We start from the raw sequence: 19,607 nt of genomic DNA, 5'->3' as shown, positions 1-19,607 counted from the left end.
ACATCATCTACGGTTCCCTAATTGCTGGGGTTAGTGGAAGGGGACAGAAAAGTTAGGGATAGGCTCTTACCTCTCACCTGTCTTGTGACTCTACCCAAATCAACGTGTGTTTGGATGCAGAATTGTCAAAATGACAATACTCACGATAACTCTGTGCAGTAGTAGCTCTGTTCTGCACTTGACTCAGAAAGCAGTCATAGTCAGAGCTCTGGCATGCTCTAAACCAAGATTTGGTTGGAAATTTGATCTCTCATGGAAAAGGTGCTTTTGTTATTGTTGTTTTCTCATGGAAGAAGCAACCAAACATCTGTTGAATCTTTAAGTCAGATTGTCTCAAAGCATGTTGGAAACAACACCTACATCAGAATCATCTAGGGTGCTTATTAGAGCAGATACCTCATCCCTCAACCCAGAACTGCTGATTTGAAATTCATGGGGCCCAGATACAAATGCACACTGAATTGTGAGGACTGCTGATCTATACTCAGTCACTACATATGTTCCTGTAGGATGTTACATCCTTTCATGGACTTTTTCGATTTGTTGCCAACCACATAGAGAACTAGAAAGTTAGGTCAAGAAATAAGAGAAAGTATTAGGTTTAGATTTCTGGGTGCCAAGCAAGCCCTGCAATTATTTAGTTATTGTGTCTTTATGGTTACTGTATCTTTATTGTTACTAGGTCCACATAGTTACCATGTTATGCTCTACAAGGGCAGAAGAGTAAAATATATTAAGCTACTAGCAAGTGCTCATCATACTCACACTGAAGGAATTTGCTAGCAAAAGCCATATTTGCATTCTAACTTGGTGCAGTGATTTACAAAGTGTGGTCCCTAGACAAACAGCATCAGCATCACCTGGGAACTTGTTAGAAATGCAAACTCGCTCCTACTCTGTCCCCAGACTTACATTTTAACTAGCTTTCTGGGTGATTCTGATGCATGCTAAAGTTAGAACTGCTGCTCTCAGCTTCCATTTCCTTGTCTGAATAAAACAATGATAATTGATCCTTCATAGTTTTTCTTTAGATTATTTTCTGTTGTCATTATAAAACTAAGATAATGTACAAAAAGGCACTTAGTTCAAGGTAAGTGTTCAATAAATAGTAAGCATATTATTGAGCTTATATTTAATTTACAAACACTGCTCTTATTTTCTAATTGTTTAACTTCAAGAGAATCCACAGGTTGCCTACAATATAAGCAGTCATGTTAGATGTTTTATATATATAAGTTCTAAATGGGATGCAGAAGTTCTAAAATTGTGATACTTAACCAGGAAAATGGCAGATTTTTATTCTTCCATTTTAGAAATTAGGACCAGGCTACTTACTTTTCTACTGTCATTTAAATCCACTTTAAGGTATTCACAATGACTTTAACATGACATTAATAAGCTTAGTGGGTCTTTGAATTTCTTAATCCCAGTTTCCTGGGGCTAAATACAATAATCTGTATCTCTTCATCTTTGACACGCTGATAAAAATCCCTGAACCTGGATTTGCATTTGGTTTTCAAAATCAATCATTTTGCTATTCAAAGGCAAGGCAATTGAGTGAGGTTTGAGATTGAAATACATATCAACCCCACTAGAGGGTGACCTTTATCTAAATCAGGGTGCATATAAAGTAAGGGCATCTTCTGTAGCCATCTCATAAAATTGGATTGTATAACTGTTTACTCAAGGTGAAGGAGAGGCTGAGAAGTGATTCTTACATGAATAATTAATAACTTTCAATTTCTAAATAATCTATTAGTCTTGTGGGAATATTTAAAACCAAGCTATTGCAAATTTCTCAGTTTGTATTTTAGGATAAAATTCCTTATTAATAAATTCAGCTCTGAATTTTAAAATTATCTGCTTCAATTCCAATTCAAAATATATTCCCCCCTTTTCTCCCAAAAGACACACACAACTAAACATATGAGAAAATAGAACCCCAAATTTGTTTCATAAAAACAAGCAAACAAAAGGCTATAGGACTTTGTTAAGTTTTATATGGTGATTTAGAAATAAGACAAACATATTCTCTAGATACCAAAGGAGAAAAAGAAAATCCAAATGTTCACATAGTAATTAGAGAGCTCAGTTTAGGTCAACCTTAAGAAATTAATGTTGAACACCATATTTGGTTTATCTTTTATAGTTCAGATTTAGAAAGTAAAACATTTGTGTTATAACTCCTCTGCTAAAATCTCTCGGTTTGATATCAGAGTTCAATGTTATTCTTAAAACCACCTCAATAAATATTTTTTTGTAGTACTTAAAATTTCAACTCAAAATTTGCAACACTATGAATACAAGTAATATTTATGTATTCTGAGCACTTTTTATACTAACTTAATTTTTTAAAATTTGATCTTTAATAATTATTGACAGAAAAAATCTGGGCTCAGGATAGTGCCAATTGTATGAAAATATGTAGATTCAACTGTTATTTGCTTCTTTTCTAGGACAGTTTTTTGTTTGTTTGTTTGTTTGTTTTTTGTTTTTTTGGTGGTGGAGGAAGGAGTCTTGCTCTGTCACCCAGGCTGGAGTGCAGTGGCACGATCTCAGCTCATGGCAACCTCCGCCTCCTGGATTCAAGCAGTTCTCCTGCCTCAGCCTCCCCAGTAGCTGGGATTACAGGCATGTGCCACCGCACCCGGCTAATTTTTGTATTTTTAGTAGAGACGGGGTTTCACCATGTTGGCCAGGATGATCTCAATCTCCTGACCTCGTGATCCGCCCACCTCAGCCTCCCAAAGTGCTGGGATTACAGGCGTGAGCCACCGTGCCTGGCTTTAAGACTATTTTAAAGAGTGTTTCTAGAACACTGAATGGTTATCTTACAAATAAAAAAAACAACTAAACTCATGCAAAACAAGACTACGGCAATTAAACTTGGATTCTCAGGTACAAATGACTTTCATTTTTATCTACCTCTACAAGCCAGAAAAATAGCATATTATAAAAATGCATTTCTATTAAAACACAAAGAAAGGTTTTATGTGGCATGAATTAGTCTAAAATAAATTTTTAACTTTAATCTAAGTTCATAAGGAGATATTAACTTTGGAAAAAGGTAAGTCTTTGAAGGATGGGTGGCTTTATCATTATTGTATTTTTGAAGGAAGGTTGCAGTCTGAATTGAAACCTTTCTTCCAAGAAAATTCAGCCTGCTGTGCTCTCGTACTAAAATAGTATCTGTAACAATGGCATATGATTTTTATATAGAATTGGGAAGAGCTACACTAATAACTTTTACAATCTCTCTTGTTCATGTATTATTTACCTGAGAATAGCTACTCCTGTCTTTAAGATTAGGTACTTTTTCCATTAATTAAAAAACTCCCATTTTAAAACTATAGAAGACGTTCTTGAAAAGTGTATGTGGGTTGAGAATAAGCATATACTCTTATCACTAACCCAGCCTAAAGCTGACATGGGGCTAAACTTTCCTTTGCAAATTAGAGTTGAAAGAGAAAAAATGCAATTCAATTACTTCATGAGGAAGCCACTCAGACTTTCCCACCAGTTGCAGACTAATCAGATGACAAATATGCCTAATTGTTTGTCAACTGATAAGATATGACAGTCCTGTCCATGTGGAGAACAGCAATTCAGGCAGTTTCTTCAATTCTCTCTCCAGTTTGAGATCAAATTACCCCAATTTTTCTGAATTCCTTGAAAATTTGATCTGATTTATTTTTAGCCAACTCTTTTGATCATTATTTTTTATTTACTCATTTTTTTTGGAAGAGACGGGGTATTACTCTGTCACCTGGAGTGCAGCGGTGTGATCATACCTCACTGCAAACTGAAACTCCGAGGTGCAAGCAATCCTGATTCAGCCTCCCAAAGTGCTGGGATTACAGGCATGAAACACCATGCCTCGCCTCTGGTTCTTCATGTGTAACGTAAAGTTTAAGAGGCAATTGACAGACATAAAGAAAATTGGGAAAGAATATACAAGGATTAAGAGGGTGGGTAGTGTGAAGTGAGAATTATTTTATTCTTATGTTATGCATCTTTGTGAAAAAACGTAGCTAACGTGAGCTATTCTAAGTATTTCTAGAATGTCTTCTCTGCATTCTTTTGAACTAAACTCAAAAGTAATTTTAACCCAAAGTTTGATATTTCCAGACATTGTTATGATTACTATATCACATATAGTAATGTTTCTGTAGTATTTGTTTGTATAAGTTTATATGTACATACTTAGATATTTACTCCTTCCTGTTTTCTTGCAACAATGTTGATATGCCGTATAAGTTCTTAGGCAAAAAGATATGTCATTTAACTTCCATTTCTGTTAGGAAGTGTATTCTACTTAGCATTTTAACCCTAGTTTACAGTTAAATGAGAACCGAGAACTGATTTTTTTCTCCAAGTTTAATAACTGTCATCTTCCTCTTCATCATTATTATGAGTATTTTGGATTTTCAGATTCTCCATTTATAGAATGGAAATCACAGGAACTGTTCAACTATTTTTGTTAAGAAATTATTATTATTTTTTTCTTTTTGTTATGGAGTCTTACTTCGTCACCCAGGCTGGGGTGCAGTGGTGTGATCTCGGGTCACTGCAATCTCCGCCTCCCAGGTTCAAGCAATTCTCCCGCCTCAGCCTCCTAAGTAGCTGGGACTACAGGTGCATGCCACTACGCTCGGCTGAGTTTTGTATTTTTAGTAAAGATGAGGTTGCACCATGTTGGCCAGGCTGGTCTTGAACTCCTGACCTCAGGCGATCCACCTGCTTCACCCTCCCAAAGTGCTGGGATTACAGGTGTGAGCCACTGCACCTGGCCATTTGTTATTGTTAAAATGAAGGTATACTCTAGTGATATGGCTTAAACACATTAGAAACACTGACAAAGATAGAGCAACAGGGAAAGATACTGTCTGAGCAGAGCTCTGTGATAACTCTTGGCAACAAAGAAGAAGCTGGCTTTTCTCTACTTTTTTATTAAGGCAGGAGGAAACACACATGGGTGGATGGCTCCTTTGTCCATACCATCTGCACTGAAACAGTGACCATGCGGCACCCTGGATCAGCCCCTAGGAGCCCCAGCAGCTGAGGAGCTTCAGGGAGCCAGAGAAACAGCCTAGGAGACACCTAATCCAACTCCAAACTAGGAAGATGACAACATTCATCCTCAAAACATTCTTAAGAGTAATCTAGCTAGCACGAAAAGGCAAAGAAATGGCTATTCCAGGCACGCGGGCATACGTGGTCTCCAGATTTGGCCGCTTTCTTACTTTGTTTTCTATTTTGTTTTGTTTTTGTTTTTTTCATGGGCAGTGTTCAATGGCCTCATCTGGCTACTTTCTTCAAACATAGGTCTCCTTGCCTGGCATTTAAAGGATGTTTTTTGAGCTTTTACTCAATAACGAGTACCAGAAACTCTCCTACACTGTTGAGATAAACAAGGAAATTTTTTTTTTTTTTTTGAGACGGAGTTTTGCTCTTGTTGCCCAGGCTGGAGTGCAATGGCTCCATCTCAGCTCACTGCAACCTGCGTCTCCCGGGTTCAAGTAATTCTCCTGCTTCAGCCTCTGCAGTAGCCGGGATTACAGGCATGCGCCACCACGCCCAGCTGATTTTTATTTTTAGTAGAGACGGGGTTTCTCCATGTTGATCAGGCTGGTCTCCAATTCCTGACCTCAGGTGATGCGCCTGCCTCAGCCTCCCAAAGTGCTGGGATTACAGGCGTGAGCCATCGCGCCTGGCCAACAAGGAAATTTTAATAAGAAAAATATTGGTTTAAATTACATTTTCAATGACAACAATAAAAATTTGCAAACCACAAAATCCAAAAAAGCAAATCAATATTTAGGAACAAAATACTTTAAGACTTTAAGTTGAGAAGGTGGAACTAAAATAGAATTTAGGTCTTCTTTTACCACCATTCAAATTACAGACCGTGTGTGTGTGTGTGTGTGTGTGTGTGTGTGTCTGTCTGTGTGTGTCTGTGTGTGTGTGTATTTGATCATATATAATATATGGAATGTGGTATTACTGAATTGCATTTGCATGTCATATTTTTTAATTGGGTCATACCATTAAATATATATCACTTATATATTTAAAATGTTGCAAGAGAAAGATAAATTTACCTTAATTCCAAAAGAATTCCTTCATCCTCACTAACAGAACCTGCTTTTATTAGGGGGTCATATGTCCTAATTCTGGAAGTTGATGTTTGGTTAAAGGCTACTAAACAATTATCAAACCATAATTAAACTGTGATTAATACATTTCACTTTTTATATCTGTCATAGCAGCCCCACTTCGCTTATCCAGTGATTAGTCTAGGTGTGGTTATGTGCCCCTGGTTCTGAACATTAAGATAAATAATATTTTTTAGAAAGCTGCTGAGAAACTATTTTCTTTTTCCAAAAAGATAGCCATTTTTTGGCCCTGCCCTCTTCTAGCCTACTTGGGATGCTGTTCTATGAAAATATAATGTTTGGAGCTAGAGCAACCATTATGTGCGAGAACGTCATCAATAACTTAGAATGGCAGAAGGGAAAAAATAGAGAGAACATGAGTTCCTGATGAACTCAGAGGCACTGATCTAACACTAGAAGCACCAAGGTTTAGAGACTTTCTGTATGAAAGGGGCTCACTTTCCACTGCGTAAGCCAATGCAGTTTGGGAAATCCCAAATTCAGCTACAATTCCCTTGTTGCTAAAAGCATTCTGAAATGATACAGAGACTGACTTTGCCAAGTACTTTCATTTAATATCATCATTCATAATATTATTTTTAGTTTAATATCATCATTCACAATATTAAGACTTGTTTGTATTTTATACATGTAGATTACTGTTCTTTTGTATTTTATGCAACTGATTAAAATTTGTATAGAATATGTTAAAAATTCATTTACATCAAATTCTAACTATTTCATTCTTCTCTGGTCAACAGTGCATTAGACTGTTGAAAAGATAAAGATGATATAAACATGTTTTTGATGTTATTTCTAGTGAAGCAAAAACAAGTACTTCATATTTCTATTTTTCTCTTTAATGGTTGATATTTCTTTACTTACAGACTTCATTTAAAATGTGCCCATTCATATTTACTGATAGGAGTTAAAGTGTATCAAAGGTGATAATTAAAAGTGAAATAAAATATATGGTGTAGAATGCTGTTTAATCTGTTTCACAATTGAGTTATTTTAATGAATCAACATGAATATTATGTTACCTCTATAGATCAGATAGAAAAAAAAATTCTCCACAGTAGTCTCTGCAAATCTCATATTCTCACAGGTATGTGTCCAAGGATGGAGTTGTTTTTTTTGTTTGTTTGTTTGTTTTTGTTTTGTTTTGTTTTTTTCCCCCAGAGAAGGTTTCCACATCTCAGCATTATTTTTTTTATATATAACATTAGGGAATCCCATGAATGCTATATTTAGCCAATAGGAACTAGAGCAGGAGTCAGCAGGCATTTTCTGTAAAGTGCAAGTTAAGTGTTTTAGGCTTGTGGGTCAGATGGTCTCAACTGCTACTCCTCCACTGCGTTTGGACGTCAAAAACAGCCTTAGGCAATATGTAAATTAATGGTCTTGGCTGTCTTCCAACCATACTTTCCTTAAACAGTTGGCAGGCTGTATATGACCTAAGGGCTTGTTGTTTTCTCACTCCTGACCTAGAGATTCCATTTTTGCTTCGTCAACCTGGGCTTTTAAATGTGGTTCTTGGAAACTTAATGTATGTATTTTCCCTGATGCATAATTGCTGAGAATTCCTACTGTGGAACTTATTAAGACATCAGTGGGGGAGCCTTTGCAGCACCTACGACAGTTCTGCCTCCAGACCAACATCCTCCTCCACCCTGAGTCAAATTTCTCTTTTAATTTTTTCAATTAATAAACTTTTAAAAGCAGTTTTAGCTTTACAGATAAATTGAGCAGTAAGTAGAGCGTTCCCATAAACCCCTTTTGCTCCCATCCCTCCCTCCACCTATTTCCCTTATTCACATCTTACATTAGTATGGTACAAATTTTATAATGAACGAGCCAATATTGATAAATTAATATTAGCTAACGTCCATAGTTTACATTAGAGTTAACTCTAGGTGTTGTACATTCTATGGGTTTTGTCAAATGTATAATGACATGTATCTACCATTATAGTAACATACAGATAGTGTCACTGCCCTAAAAATCCTGTGTGTTCACTTACTCATCATCCCTCCCTCTCTCCACCCTCCCCCTCTCCTCTAGACCTTGGCAACCACTGATATTTTTACTGTCTCCGTTCTGCCTTTTCCAGAATGTTATATAGTTGGAATCGTATAGTGTATAGGCTTTTCAGACTGGCTTCTCTTACTTAGTAATATGCATTTAAGGTTTCTCATATTTTTTGATGGCTTTATAATTTTCCTTTATCACTGAATAATATTCCATTGTCTGGAAAGCTTGTTTGTATATTCCCCTATTGAAGGCCATCTTGATTGCTTTCAAGTTTTGGCAATTAGGAATAAAGCTGCCATGAACATTTACACCAAGTTTTTGTGTGGATGTAAGTTTCCAACTCATTTGAGTAAACACCAAGGATCAAGGTTTTTAGATCCTATGGTCAGTTATCTTTTCTGGTGACCATACTAGCCCCATCACTCCCAGTTACTGTTTGCATTAGTTTTCATTTTCATTTCTACATCACATAACAGTCACTCCTGTTATTCACAATATTATTTTCCTTCACAAAGACTTCTCCAGCAGAAAAGAAGATGGATGAATGCCATTCATCCCTCAAAATTGGAACCTTTCCTCAAAATATGTGTTTGTGTATGTACTACTATTTTTAAAAACTTTTATAACTTGCAGTTTGTTTTCATCCTTAAAGGTTATTGTCAGTTCATCCTGCATTTTTTTTTGTCATTCTGTATGTATAGTGAAATATAGTCAAGTGCTCTATATCAGTAAGTCTGGAATGTTCCATTCTGGCAGTTATATGCTGGGATACATAACATTGTTGCACAAGCCAGAGTAAGTGTAAAGATTGCTGTATCTTATTTGTGCTCTGACCATAGACATGATCTTATTCTATTCAGGCTGCTACACGAAAATACTATAAACTGTGTAGCTTATACACAACAGAAATATATGTCTCACAGTTCTGGAGGCTGGGAACTCCAGATCAAAGTGCTGGAAGACTTGGTATCTGATGAGGGCTTTCTGGTTTGGGGACAGTGTTTTCTCGATGTGTCTTCACTTGAAAGGGGAGAACTCCAGTCTCTTCAGTCCCTCATAAGAGCACTAATCCCATTTCAGGAGGGATTCATCCTCATGGCCTAACCACCTTCCAAAGCCCCACCTTCAAATACCATTACAGTGGGGATTAGGTTCCAACATATTAATTTTGGGGAGGGACACAAACATGTCAGATCACAGCAAACACCAGCTTTAGTAGTCATCTCTTTAATTATTTCACAATAGTTTATAATTTTTTAAACTATCTGATAGGAAGCTCTCAGTTGGACTGTATTTTTCAAAGTCCATGTGAAGAAAGGGCAAATAAAATTCTGGTTTGAAAAGTAACAAATGTTCTCAGATGCAACATTTGCTAAACTCCAAATCTTTATATAGATTTATATAGACAAAAAGTCAAACGTGTCTCCTAACCCTAACACACATGTAGAGAAAACATTGGATTCTGAACATGGAGGTTGTAAAATAGGGTTTATTTTCCTTTTGCATACTTAGAAATTTTAATTGTGATAAAAATACAAAATTTACCATCTTAACCCTTTTTTATTCTCTATTTCTGTATTTTTGTCATTTTAAGAGTGTTACATAGATGAAATATGACAATATGTAACCTTTGGGATTGACTTTTATTGTTGTTTTGCTCTGTATAATTCTCTAGAGATTTATACATGTTGCTGCATGTATCAATAGTTCATTCCTTTTTATTACTGTCATATTCCATGGTATGGATGTACCACAGTTTGCTTAATCTTTCCATTTTTAAATGTACACTTGAATACTGTTCGGTATATTTATATGGCTGTCCATCAGATCTCCAGAAATCTCACCCTGCGAATCTGAAACTCTTCACCTACCAAACAACTTCCCTTTCCTCCTCTCCCTAGCCACCGGCAACCGCAATTCTAATTTGTTTCTATGAATTTAGCTACTTTAGTTACCTCATATAAGTGGATTTGTATAGTATTTGTCTTTTTGTGACTGACATATTTGACTTAGCGTAATGTTCTCAAGGTTCATTCATGTAACATGTATCAGAATTCTTCCTTTTAAAAACTAAATGATATCCCATTGTGTGTACCTACCAAGTTTTGTTTATTCATTCATCCATTGCTGGACATTTGGGTTGCTTCCACCTCTCAGATGTTGTGAATAATGCTGTTGTAAACATGGATGTGCAAGTATCTCTTCAACTCCCTGTTTTCAATTCTTTGGGACATATACTCAGAAGTGAAGTTGCTGGATTATATAGTAATTCTATTTTTTTTTTTTTTTTTTTTTTTTTTTTAGAAACCTCCATACTCTTTTCCTTAGTGGCTGCAAGATTTTATAATTCCACAAACAATGCACACAGACTCCAATTTCTCCACATACTTGACAGCACTTGTTATTTTTTGTTTTTTAATTTGTATAATTTAGGGGCTACTAGTACTGTTTTTCTTTGTTGCTGTTTTTTTACATGGCTGTATTGTATAGTGGTAAAGTATGGGCTTTTAGTGTACGTTGTACCCATTAAAGAATTTATCTGTCGTCCCCCTCCTATCCTCACCCCCTTTCAAGTCTCCAGTGTCTATTAATCCATACTGTATGTCCATGTGTACAGATTATTTAACTCCCACTTATAAGTGAGAACATGTGGTATTTGGCTCTATGCTTATGAGTTATTTCACTTAAGATAATGACCTCTAGTTCCATCCATGTTATTGCAAAATATATAATTTCATTCTTTTTTTATGGCTGGGTAGTATTCCATGGTGTGTGTGTGATACATATATATGTAACATCTTCTTTATCCAATCATCTGTTGATGGACACTTAGGTTGACTACCTATCTTTGCTATTTTGAGTAGTGTTGTTATACACATAAAAGTCCAGGTGTCTTTTTTTTATAGAATAATTTCTTTTCTTTTGGATATAGACCCAGTAGTGGGATTGCTGGATTGAATGTTAGTTCTATTTTTAGTTCTTTGAGATATCTCCGTACTGTTTTCCATAAATACTGTACTAAGTTAAATCCCCACCAACAATGTGTAAGCCTTTTCTTTTCCTCTGCATCCTCTCCGACACCTTCATTTTTTGACTTTATAATGATAATTATTCTTTCTGGTGCAAGATGATATCTCATTGTGGTTTTAATTTGCATTTCTCTTGATTAGTGATGTGAGCATTTTTTCATATGCTTCTTGGCCATTTGTATGTCTTCTTTTAAGAATTGTTCCTTTCCCCACTTTTTAATGTGGTGTTTTGTTGTTGCTGATGTTGTTGTTGTCTGAATTCCTTGTAGATTCTGCATGTTAATCTTTTGTTGGATGCATAGTTTGCAGATATTTTCTGCCATTGTACAGGTTTGTTCCCTCTGTAGCCATCCTAATGGGTGTGAGATGATATCTCATTGTGATTTTCATTTTTATTTTAATGATGATCAGCAATGTTGAGCATGTTTTCATGTTTGTTGGTCAGTAAGGTGAGTTTTTGTCGTTTTCTTCATCATCAGCCTCATGTAAGTGTCCTAGTCTACCTGCAGTCTTGTCTCATCCCTTAACAATTAGAAGGAGAGTCATCATTTAAAGAACTTGCCAAAAGTAATTAATTAGATCTGTTTGAATTTTTTAATTTTCAAAGTAGCATTTTGTAACTTTTCTTTCTGTCTAAATTTCCCAGTAAACTTCCTTGAGGGCAGGAAATTATATCTTTTTCACTGCTGAATCTCTGACACTTATTATAGAGCTTGCTAGTTAATGGGTACCTAATACTTGTTTGCTGGATGAATCACACAGTCTTGATGAAAGACATTTTTTCCCCAGCATCTATCATGTACTCATTAGCAGAGCTCAGTCGCTAAATTGCCTTTACCAGAGGCTATTCTGAGGCTTCTTTCTTTGGCAGGTACTCATCTATTTCTTATTTGGGGCTCATTATCTAATGGAGAAGAGCTTCATTGACAATGCTCAACATACCACTTTCCTGCCACAAAATGCCTTATACACCATAGAGACTTTAGTTACCAGGCAAACCTAGAGGCAAATATCATAGTTTAGACAGTCTACCCAGAATGAAGTATATTTTCCAATCTAATAATCTAATGTTTTCTGAGAGTCAAAAGGTGTAGAATGCTGTTTCTTGCTGTAACTATTGCTAGTTTCTGGAAATGAATACAATTAAGTTTCTAAAGTATACCAGAATTATGGCTAGAGAATGCGTTATGATAATTTTAAGGGGTTTCCCATGTGAATATCACATGATAGAAGGGACACCATTTTTCACATTGGACAACACTGACTGCTTAACATGTAAATAATCACTCAGGTTGAGTAAAGCACACTCCTGGCATTGATAAAGTGCCTTCTCATGCTCCTGCCTACCTACTGTTGATCATCACACAAACTCTACCAGGCACTTTATGCAGTTTGCCCTTCTCGCCTAAAATAAAGCAAGAGAAGGGAAAATAAGTAGCTTCATCTACTTACCTAATTACTTAGAGCAACAATTCTTAACTGCACTCTCTAGGAGTATATGAACATATTGAAATTGCATTCGACATTGCATGAGTACTAACATTTTTGGGGGGAAGCACCACTGAGCTAGAGTTTTCAGTATTTTCTAATAATAAATACTGTCAGTATATAAGATGACTGAGAAGCATGTGAATTGAGACTGAGAACAAGATAGAGAATATTGTCTGGTGATTTGGGGCATAGGTTTTCATCTCTACATGCCTTTTACATCATTACTTTTGAGAAGTTTCTGTTTGAACTCGGTAAACCTCTTAGCATAATCTAGGTTCTAACTGAATAGTTGTGAATTAGTGTCTAGACTCATAAAATGAAGAAATTGCACAAAACCAACTCATTAAGGTTCCAAATAATTAATCTCAGCCACATTTGAGAGGGTTGGGTTCAGAGGAGTCCAATGTGACAATGTTAAATATTTCTAATTGCAGGCCATTTAAAATTTCTGTAACATCTAAATACCATACATATTAACCATACATATTTATTTTCTTCCTCCATCTATCCTGCACATCTCCGCTGAATTGATCTGTTCTTTCTTTCTATCACATTCTTTCTAGGACACTATAAATGAATCAGTCTGAAACCTACCTCCTTTTCCACTTTTACCTCCATCTACAATCTTGCGAGCACTCTGCCCAAGCAAACTGTTTCCATCTTCATTCCCCTAAGTGTGTTCTCAACATTTCACCTCCATATGTAGGTTCTCACCATGAAACCCACCTACACTCCACTCTTCTCTCCATATAAGCTTTATTCTTCAAGACGTGGTCAAACCTACCTTCTTTGAAAAGTTCTTCCAAACCATCTACATTTAAAACAGTATCTACTAATGAGCTATCAAGCCATGAAAAGAGATGAAGGGAGCTTAAATGCATATTGCTAAGTTAAATAGACCTACTTGTAAAGACTACATACTGTATGATTTCAACTATATGACATTCTGGAAAAGGCAAAATTATGGAGACAGTAAAAAGATTACTGATTACCAGGGATTAAATTAGAAGGGAGGAATTGATGAATGTGTGGGACACAGATATTTTTTAGGCAATGAAATTGTTCTTTGTGATACTATAATAGTAATGCGTGACTTTATACATTTGACAAAACCCATAGAATGTACAGCACCCAAAGTGAACCCTAATGTAAAGTATGTACTTTGAGTGATGATAATGTGCCAATGTAGGTTCATTGATTGCAACAAGTATACCACTCTAGTGCAGGACGCTGATAATGGGGAGGAGTTAGGCATGGGGCAGTGGGTATATGGGAATTCTCTGTACTCTGCTCAATTTTTCTGTGAATTTAAAACTTCTCTATTAAATAAAACGTGTATATATATCCTTACTAAAGCACTCGCAGAATAAGTGTGCTATGTAGTTCACCCAGCCAACAAGAAAAGACATGAATAATCATTTAGTTACATTCTTATTATTTAAGTTCTTACATATTAATTTTCTCCCAAATAAAATGAACCCCTACAGAATCAGGAGCGGCATATGATTCTTTGTCATTTCTGCCATTCTAGTCATAATTCTGACCACATACTAGTGTTCAAACATTTATTTGATGTTTGGTGCCTTCTTTTTCTCACTACTGAAATATAAGGTCTTTGAGGGCAGGGGATCCAACTTATTTTGATTATTCATGAACCCCAAACACCTAGAAGAGAGTCTAGCACAAGGTAGCCACTCAATAAATGCTAACCGAATGAACATACACGCATGTGTTAATAAGTAAAATGAAATAAACTATTTAAAGCATCAATTCTTAATAAAAATGACACGTTTGTTTTTGTTTTGCAGCTCTAGATCTTACAAGTATACAATGGGAATATTTACATCCCCTAGCTCTTAGATTTAAAAGCTATTTCTTTTAGGCTGTATTCCCCCACATACAATCCTGGATGCTCAGAGAGAACATTTTTTAAAACCACTTACTTATTCATTCATTCACTCATTTAATACGTGTTTATTAATCATCTACTGTGCATTATTCTGGACACTGGAGACTCACTTGCAAAGGTGACTGACAAAGTCCCCACTCTAATTGAATATAATGCATTCTGCTAAAATGAAAAAAATGTAACTCACAAAAATAAGATGAATAGTGATTTCTGGATGTTGAGGAGGGAGATGGGGAAACTACATAAGCCAGAAGGTCAGGAATTGTGACTTTGTCCCCGAGAGTTGTATGACATACATGTAGCAGCCCTGAATTAGGTGGTAACAGCCCTGAAATAGGTAAAGTCTCACTGGATGTAGATCTGTAGGATTTTTATAAGGATTTATGGCCAGGCTCTAGCATGCTACTTTCAACATATACAATAAAAAAATCACCCACAAGCTCCCAATCAAAGCATAAAGGCAGAAGTTTATATTCCTAGTGTGCATTTTAATACCTTAGTAAGATACAAAGGTTGCAAATGTTACTGAATTAATCCTCAGCCATTTTAGTGGTCATGGGAACATGGTGAGGGGTTGCTCACAGAATCATCTCAATTTTACAATGCTGCATTTCCTTAGGATCCTTAACTCTTATTTTGGAACTTTTATTTTGGTTTCTATTCTAATTTCCTAAAACATGTGCAGTATATTTGTAAACAATTTTGAGGTTAAATACTATATTCAAATAGAGTGCTCTAGCTTTTAAATACTTGATGCAATTATATATGTATATATACCTGATTTGTAAACCCTCTTTAAATATGGTTCAGTTTTTAAGAAAATGGATGAATATCTTAAATCTTTGAAATAAGCTTATGGTAAAAATATCTACAGATGTGAATATGTTCAATATTTATTTTCTCTTTCAAAAGAACATCAAACTTAAATATAGACAGAGCATAGACATTGCTTCGTTGTATATGTTTCTTTATCTGAACATTCTATCACTGACAGTGTGAAGGCAAGAGAAAAATAATTTCTAAATGATTTTCAAGTGACACTTGCCTTCTTTATCAGTTCTTCAAAGAAGAGGGATTCACCCTCATTCAGTTTTTATTAATATTTTGTTACAAATTAGACAATCACAGATAACAATGTTTTGATGATGGTTCCATTCATAGCATCTTCCAATAAAGCAAAATAAATAAATTAATTAATTAAAAAGCCTTAAATTTTCCTCCTTAAACAACAAGCTTATGTTCCCATTTGTAGAATTCCACAATTGGTAAACAGATCTGAATTCATTTTATTGATCTGCCTCACAGTTATATGAATTCTGCCAGACAGTATTACAGATCTCTTCATTCTTAGTCTCTGTAAACCAAAAGGTATCTGAGACAGGTCTCAATCAATTTAGAAAGTATATTTTTCCAAGGTTAAAGATATGCCTGTGACAGCCTCGGGAGGTACTGACAACATGTGCCCAAGAAGGTTGGGGCAAAACTTGGTTTTATACATTTTAGGGCTACATGAGACATCAATCAATGTATGTATGACGCACATTGGTTCAGCCTGGAAAGGCGGGACAACTTGAAGCAGGGAGGGGACTTCCAGGTCATAGGTAGATAAGAGAAATATGATTGCATTCTTTTGAGTTTCTGATTAGCCTTTCAGTGAATGCACAATTTACAGAAATAGTCACTTATGTCTTCATCTGCTTTAGTGGAACAATGGGGCAGAGGAAGCAATTAGACATGGATTTGTCTCATGTGAACAGAGGGATGACTTTGAGTTCGGCCTGTCCACAAGGAATTTCCTTGTGGACAAATTGCGAGGGAGGTATGTAGCTTTTTTATCTTTGTAACTATCTTATTTAGGAATAGAATGGGAGGCAGCTTTGCCCAATGCATTTCCCAGCTTGACTCTTCCCTTTGACTTAGTGATTTTGGGGTCCTGAGATTTATTTTTCTTTCACATCTTTTAATCATAACTATGGCTAACATTTATTGAGGGCACACTTTGCACCAAAAACTGCCAATCCTCATGAAATTCAATAATTCCATAGAGGTAAATATTTTATTTTGAAGGTGAAGTGATGTTTCCAAGACAGTTGTTAGTAAGATGCTGGGGTGGGAAGCAAATCCAGGTCTGTTTAGTTTCTAAATCTTCAATCTTTTTATTTTCTAAATCTTTAATCTTAATGTCTGCACTATGCTTAGGGTTAACCATCCTCAATAATCACTGGTTTTTCATCTGTAACTTTCTCTTCTTGTTCATTCATTCTTGATGACTTTAATGTAACAGCATTCATTTATTTTTAGTTCTGGGATACATGTGCAGAACGTGCAGGTTTGTTACATAGGTATACATGTGCCATGGTGGTTTGATGCACCTACCAACCAGTCATCTAGGTTTTAAGCCCTGCATGCATCAGGTATTTGTCCTAATTACATGGATGAAGCTAGATTCTCAGCAAACTAACACAGGAAGAGAAAACCAAACACCACATGTTCTCACTCATAAGTGGGAGTTGAATAATGAGAACACATGGACACAGGGAGGGGAACATCACACACTGGGGCCTGATGGGGGTTAGGGGACAACTACATTCATATTTATTGATCTCTAACTCTAGCCACTTCCTGACCCCTCACCTGATTTAGTTTTCTTTCTCTGCATTTTTCTATTATCCTTAAAAGTGTAGTGCTTCAGGGACCACTCATTCCCCTAGGGACAGGCTCAGGGCAGCTATGTAAAAAGGTGTGCTAATACTTGCTAATTTACTTTCAATTTTTCTCCTTAGGGGGCCCACCTTTTAGTTGGCCTTTTTAGTTGCAGCAGCAAACTGGACTGACCAAGTGAATAGAAGAACTAATCTATGAAACCAGATCTGAAAGTTTACACAATTTAATTTGGAAAGCTAAATGTGCCAAGAATAGAATCAAAGTATATAGAATAATAAAAGGCAGGGAAGTACTCTGATGGAATTCTTTTTTTTTTTTTTTTACTGTAATAAAATGTGAGCATAACAACTATTTTTAAAGGTTTAGATGAATTTGTAAATGGTGGATTTGCCGTTGACATCAGTAAGAACCATATCTCATATATTATCCTGAAAAAGTTAAGAATTTTACTTCAGCAGGGTTTTTTTGGTCTTTTACTGATGTTTAATGGATTCACTGACTGGGAATATAATGGTTTCCTATGGAAATAACATTTCTGTTTACTGCTCACCATTAGTAAGCTGATAGTCTCCTACTATAGTACTGCTCATGAGAGAAACCTTTTGCAGATTGATTGATTCTGAGATGGAGTCTTGCCCTGTCTGCCAGGCTGGAGTGCAATGGTGTGATCTCAGCTCACTGCAACCTCTGCCTCCCTGGTTCAAGCAATTCTCCTGCCTCACCCTCCCATATAGCTGGGATTATAGGCACCCACCACCATGCCCAGCTAATTTTTGTATTTTTAGTAGAGACAGGGTTTCACCATGTTGGTCAGGCTGGTCTTGAACTCCTAACCTCAGGTGGTCCATCTGCCTCAGCCTCCCAAAGTGCTGGGATTACAGGTTGCCTCCAACTGGGAAGTCTATCATGGCCATTGTCCTCTTATGTTTCAGTGGTGATGTGGGAACCACTTTGCTTACTGACCGGGGACTTTTTTATAAAACATAAAACCATAAGAAATTTAAGGACCTTTGCCCCTCAAATTCCAGTTCTTTATCTTTCAACTTATTTGCTCTGCAACTAACAATATGTGGTTTGTCTTTGTTATAGGAATGCATGAAGATTTCTGAAGTAATTTGGTACTGAAAAAAAGACATACCCACCAAAAAATAAAAATAAAAAACAGGTTACTAAGGAAAAACTTAAACATGCAACATTGTGGAAAATTACCCTATAGATATTTGAAATGATATTCTGTAAAAGGACAGAAAGCACTCTGGAAACTTATGTTATACTCTTACGCTTTTTTTTTGCCCAAGAATACAAAACTGCAATATTTGACCTTTCAGAAGCACCAATGAACATGGACAAAATGTCATCCAGTTCCACAGGCTAGAAACCTGCACACTGCTTGACACTCTGTTCCCTCAGCTGCCATATACAATTACATAGTGCTGACCTTCTGACCTCCTAAATATTTCTCCAATCAGCCATGTTTTGTCCACCTCCATTGCCAATGCCTTGGCCCACACAACTGTTATGTTTTTTTCTTTCTGGTACTATAATGGACAAACCAGAATTCTTATATCCAAATTGGCTCTCTTTTAGGCTTCACATTTTGGCCAGACTAGCCTTTCCAAATTTGTATCTGAGTGTGACATGTTCCTGCTTAAAACTTCTAATGTCTTCCCATTGCTTTTAGAGAACGATGAAAACCCTTGTAGCAGAATGAGCCGCAGACAAAACCTCTCAGACATTGAGTTGTAGAAGGAAGGGCTTTATTCAGCTGGGAACATCGGCAAGCTACTGCCTCAAAATCTGAGCTCCCCGATTGCAAAATTTCTGTCCCGTTGAAGGGCTCACAACACTAAAGATTTCACCTGAAAGGGTTGTGATTGATTGAGCAATCTAGGGGATACGTGACAGGGGTTTCATGCCCTGGTAGTCAGAGTGAAACAGAACAGAGCAGGGAGTTTCACAATGTTCTTTTATACAATGCCTGAAATCTATGGGTAACATCGGGTTCTAAGTTGATTTTTAACTACTGAGTTTAGGCCAGGCATAGGGTTCTAAGTTGATTTTTAACTACTGGGTTTAGGCCAGGCAGGCCCAGGCCTGGTTTCAGGCCTGGCGCTGGGCTGCCTGTCTTTGGTTTTACTTCCTTGTTGTTTTTTCTTTTTTTCTTAAAACAGGTACTGAGTATAAAACAATATGAGAGCGTCTCTCTCTTCCCTCACCCTTAATGTGACCACTGGTTTCACTCATGCCTAATACCCAAATCCCAAATCCTACTGCTGTGTGTTCACATTCTGCATTCTGATTTCGTTGTTTTCTCTTTTTCATTCA

The 19,607-nt window shown here is 36.4% G+C and overlaps 1 protein-coding gene across 21 annotated transcripts in view, besides 2 other annotated features; it reads left to right on the top strand.

Annotated features, from left to right (window-relative positions):
- The window catches only part of FGF14 (fibroblast growth factor 14), a 691,640-nt gene that overhangs the window by 643,205 nt on the left and 28,828 nt on the right, over positions 1-19,607 (top strand). The gene's annotated exons all lie outside the window — the stretch shown is intronic.
- Positions 7,303-7,804: an enhancer, noted in NCBI's record as "NANOG hESC enhancer chr13:102403785-102404286 (GRCh37/hg19 assembly coordinates)". NCBI's record gives its function as "activates a minimal SCP1, AML or CMV promoter by ChIP-STARR-seq in primed H9 embryonic stem cells {active_cell/tissue: H9 hESC(primed)}" and the evidence as "EXISTENCE:reporter gene assay evidence [ECO:0000049][PMID:30033119]".
- Positions 19,318-19,507: an enhancer, noted in NCBI's record as "active region_7963". NCBI's record gives its function as "activates an Ori minimal core promoter by ATAC-STARR-seq in GM12878 lymphoblastoid cells {active_cell/tissue: GM12878}" and the evidence as "EXISTENCE:reporter gene assay evidence [ECO:0000049][PMID:35858748]".

This window comes from Homo sapiens, chromosome 13, assembly GCF_000001405.40.
Source record: "Homo sapiens chromosome 13, GRCh38.p14 Primary Assembly".
Classification (NCBI taxonomy): Eukaryota; Metazoa; Chordata; class Mammalia; order Primates; family Hominidae; genus Homo; species Homo sapiens.
The sequence above is the reverse complement of the archived record's forward strand: the minus strand, read 5'-3'. Positions and strand labels throughout refer to the sequence as shown.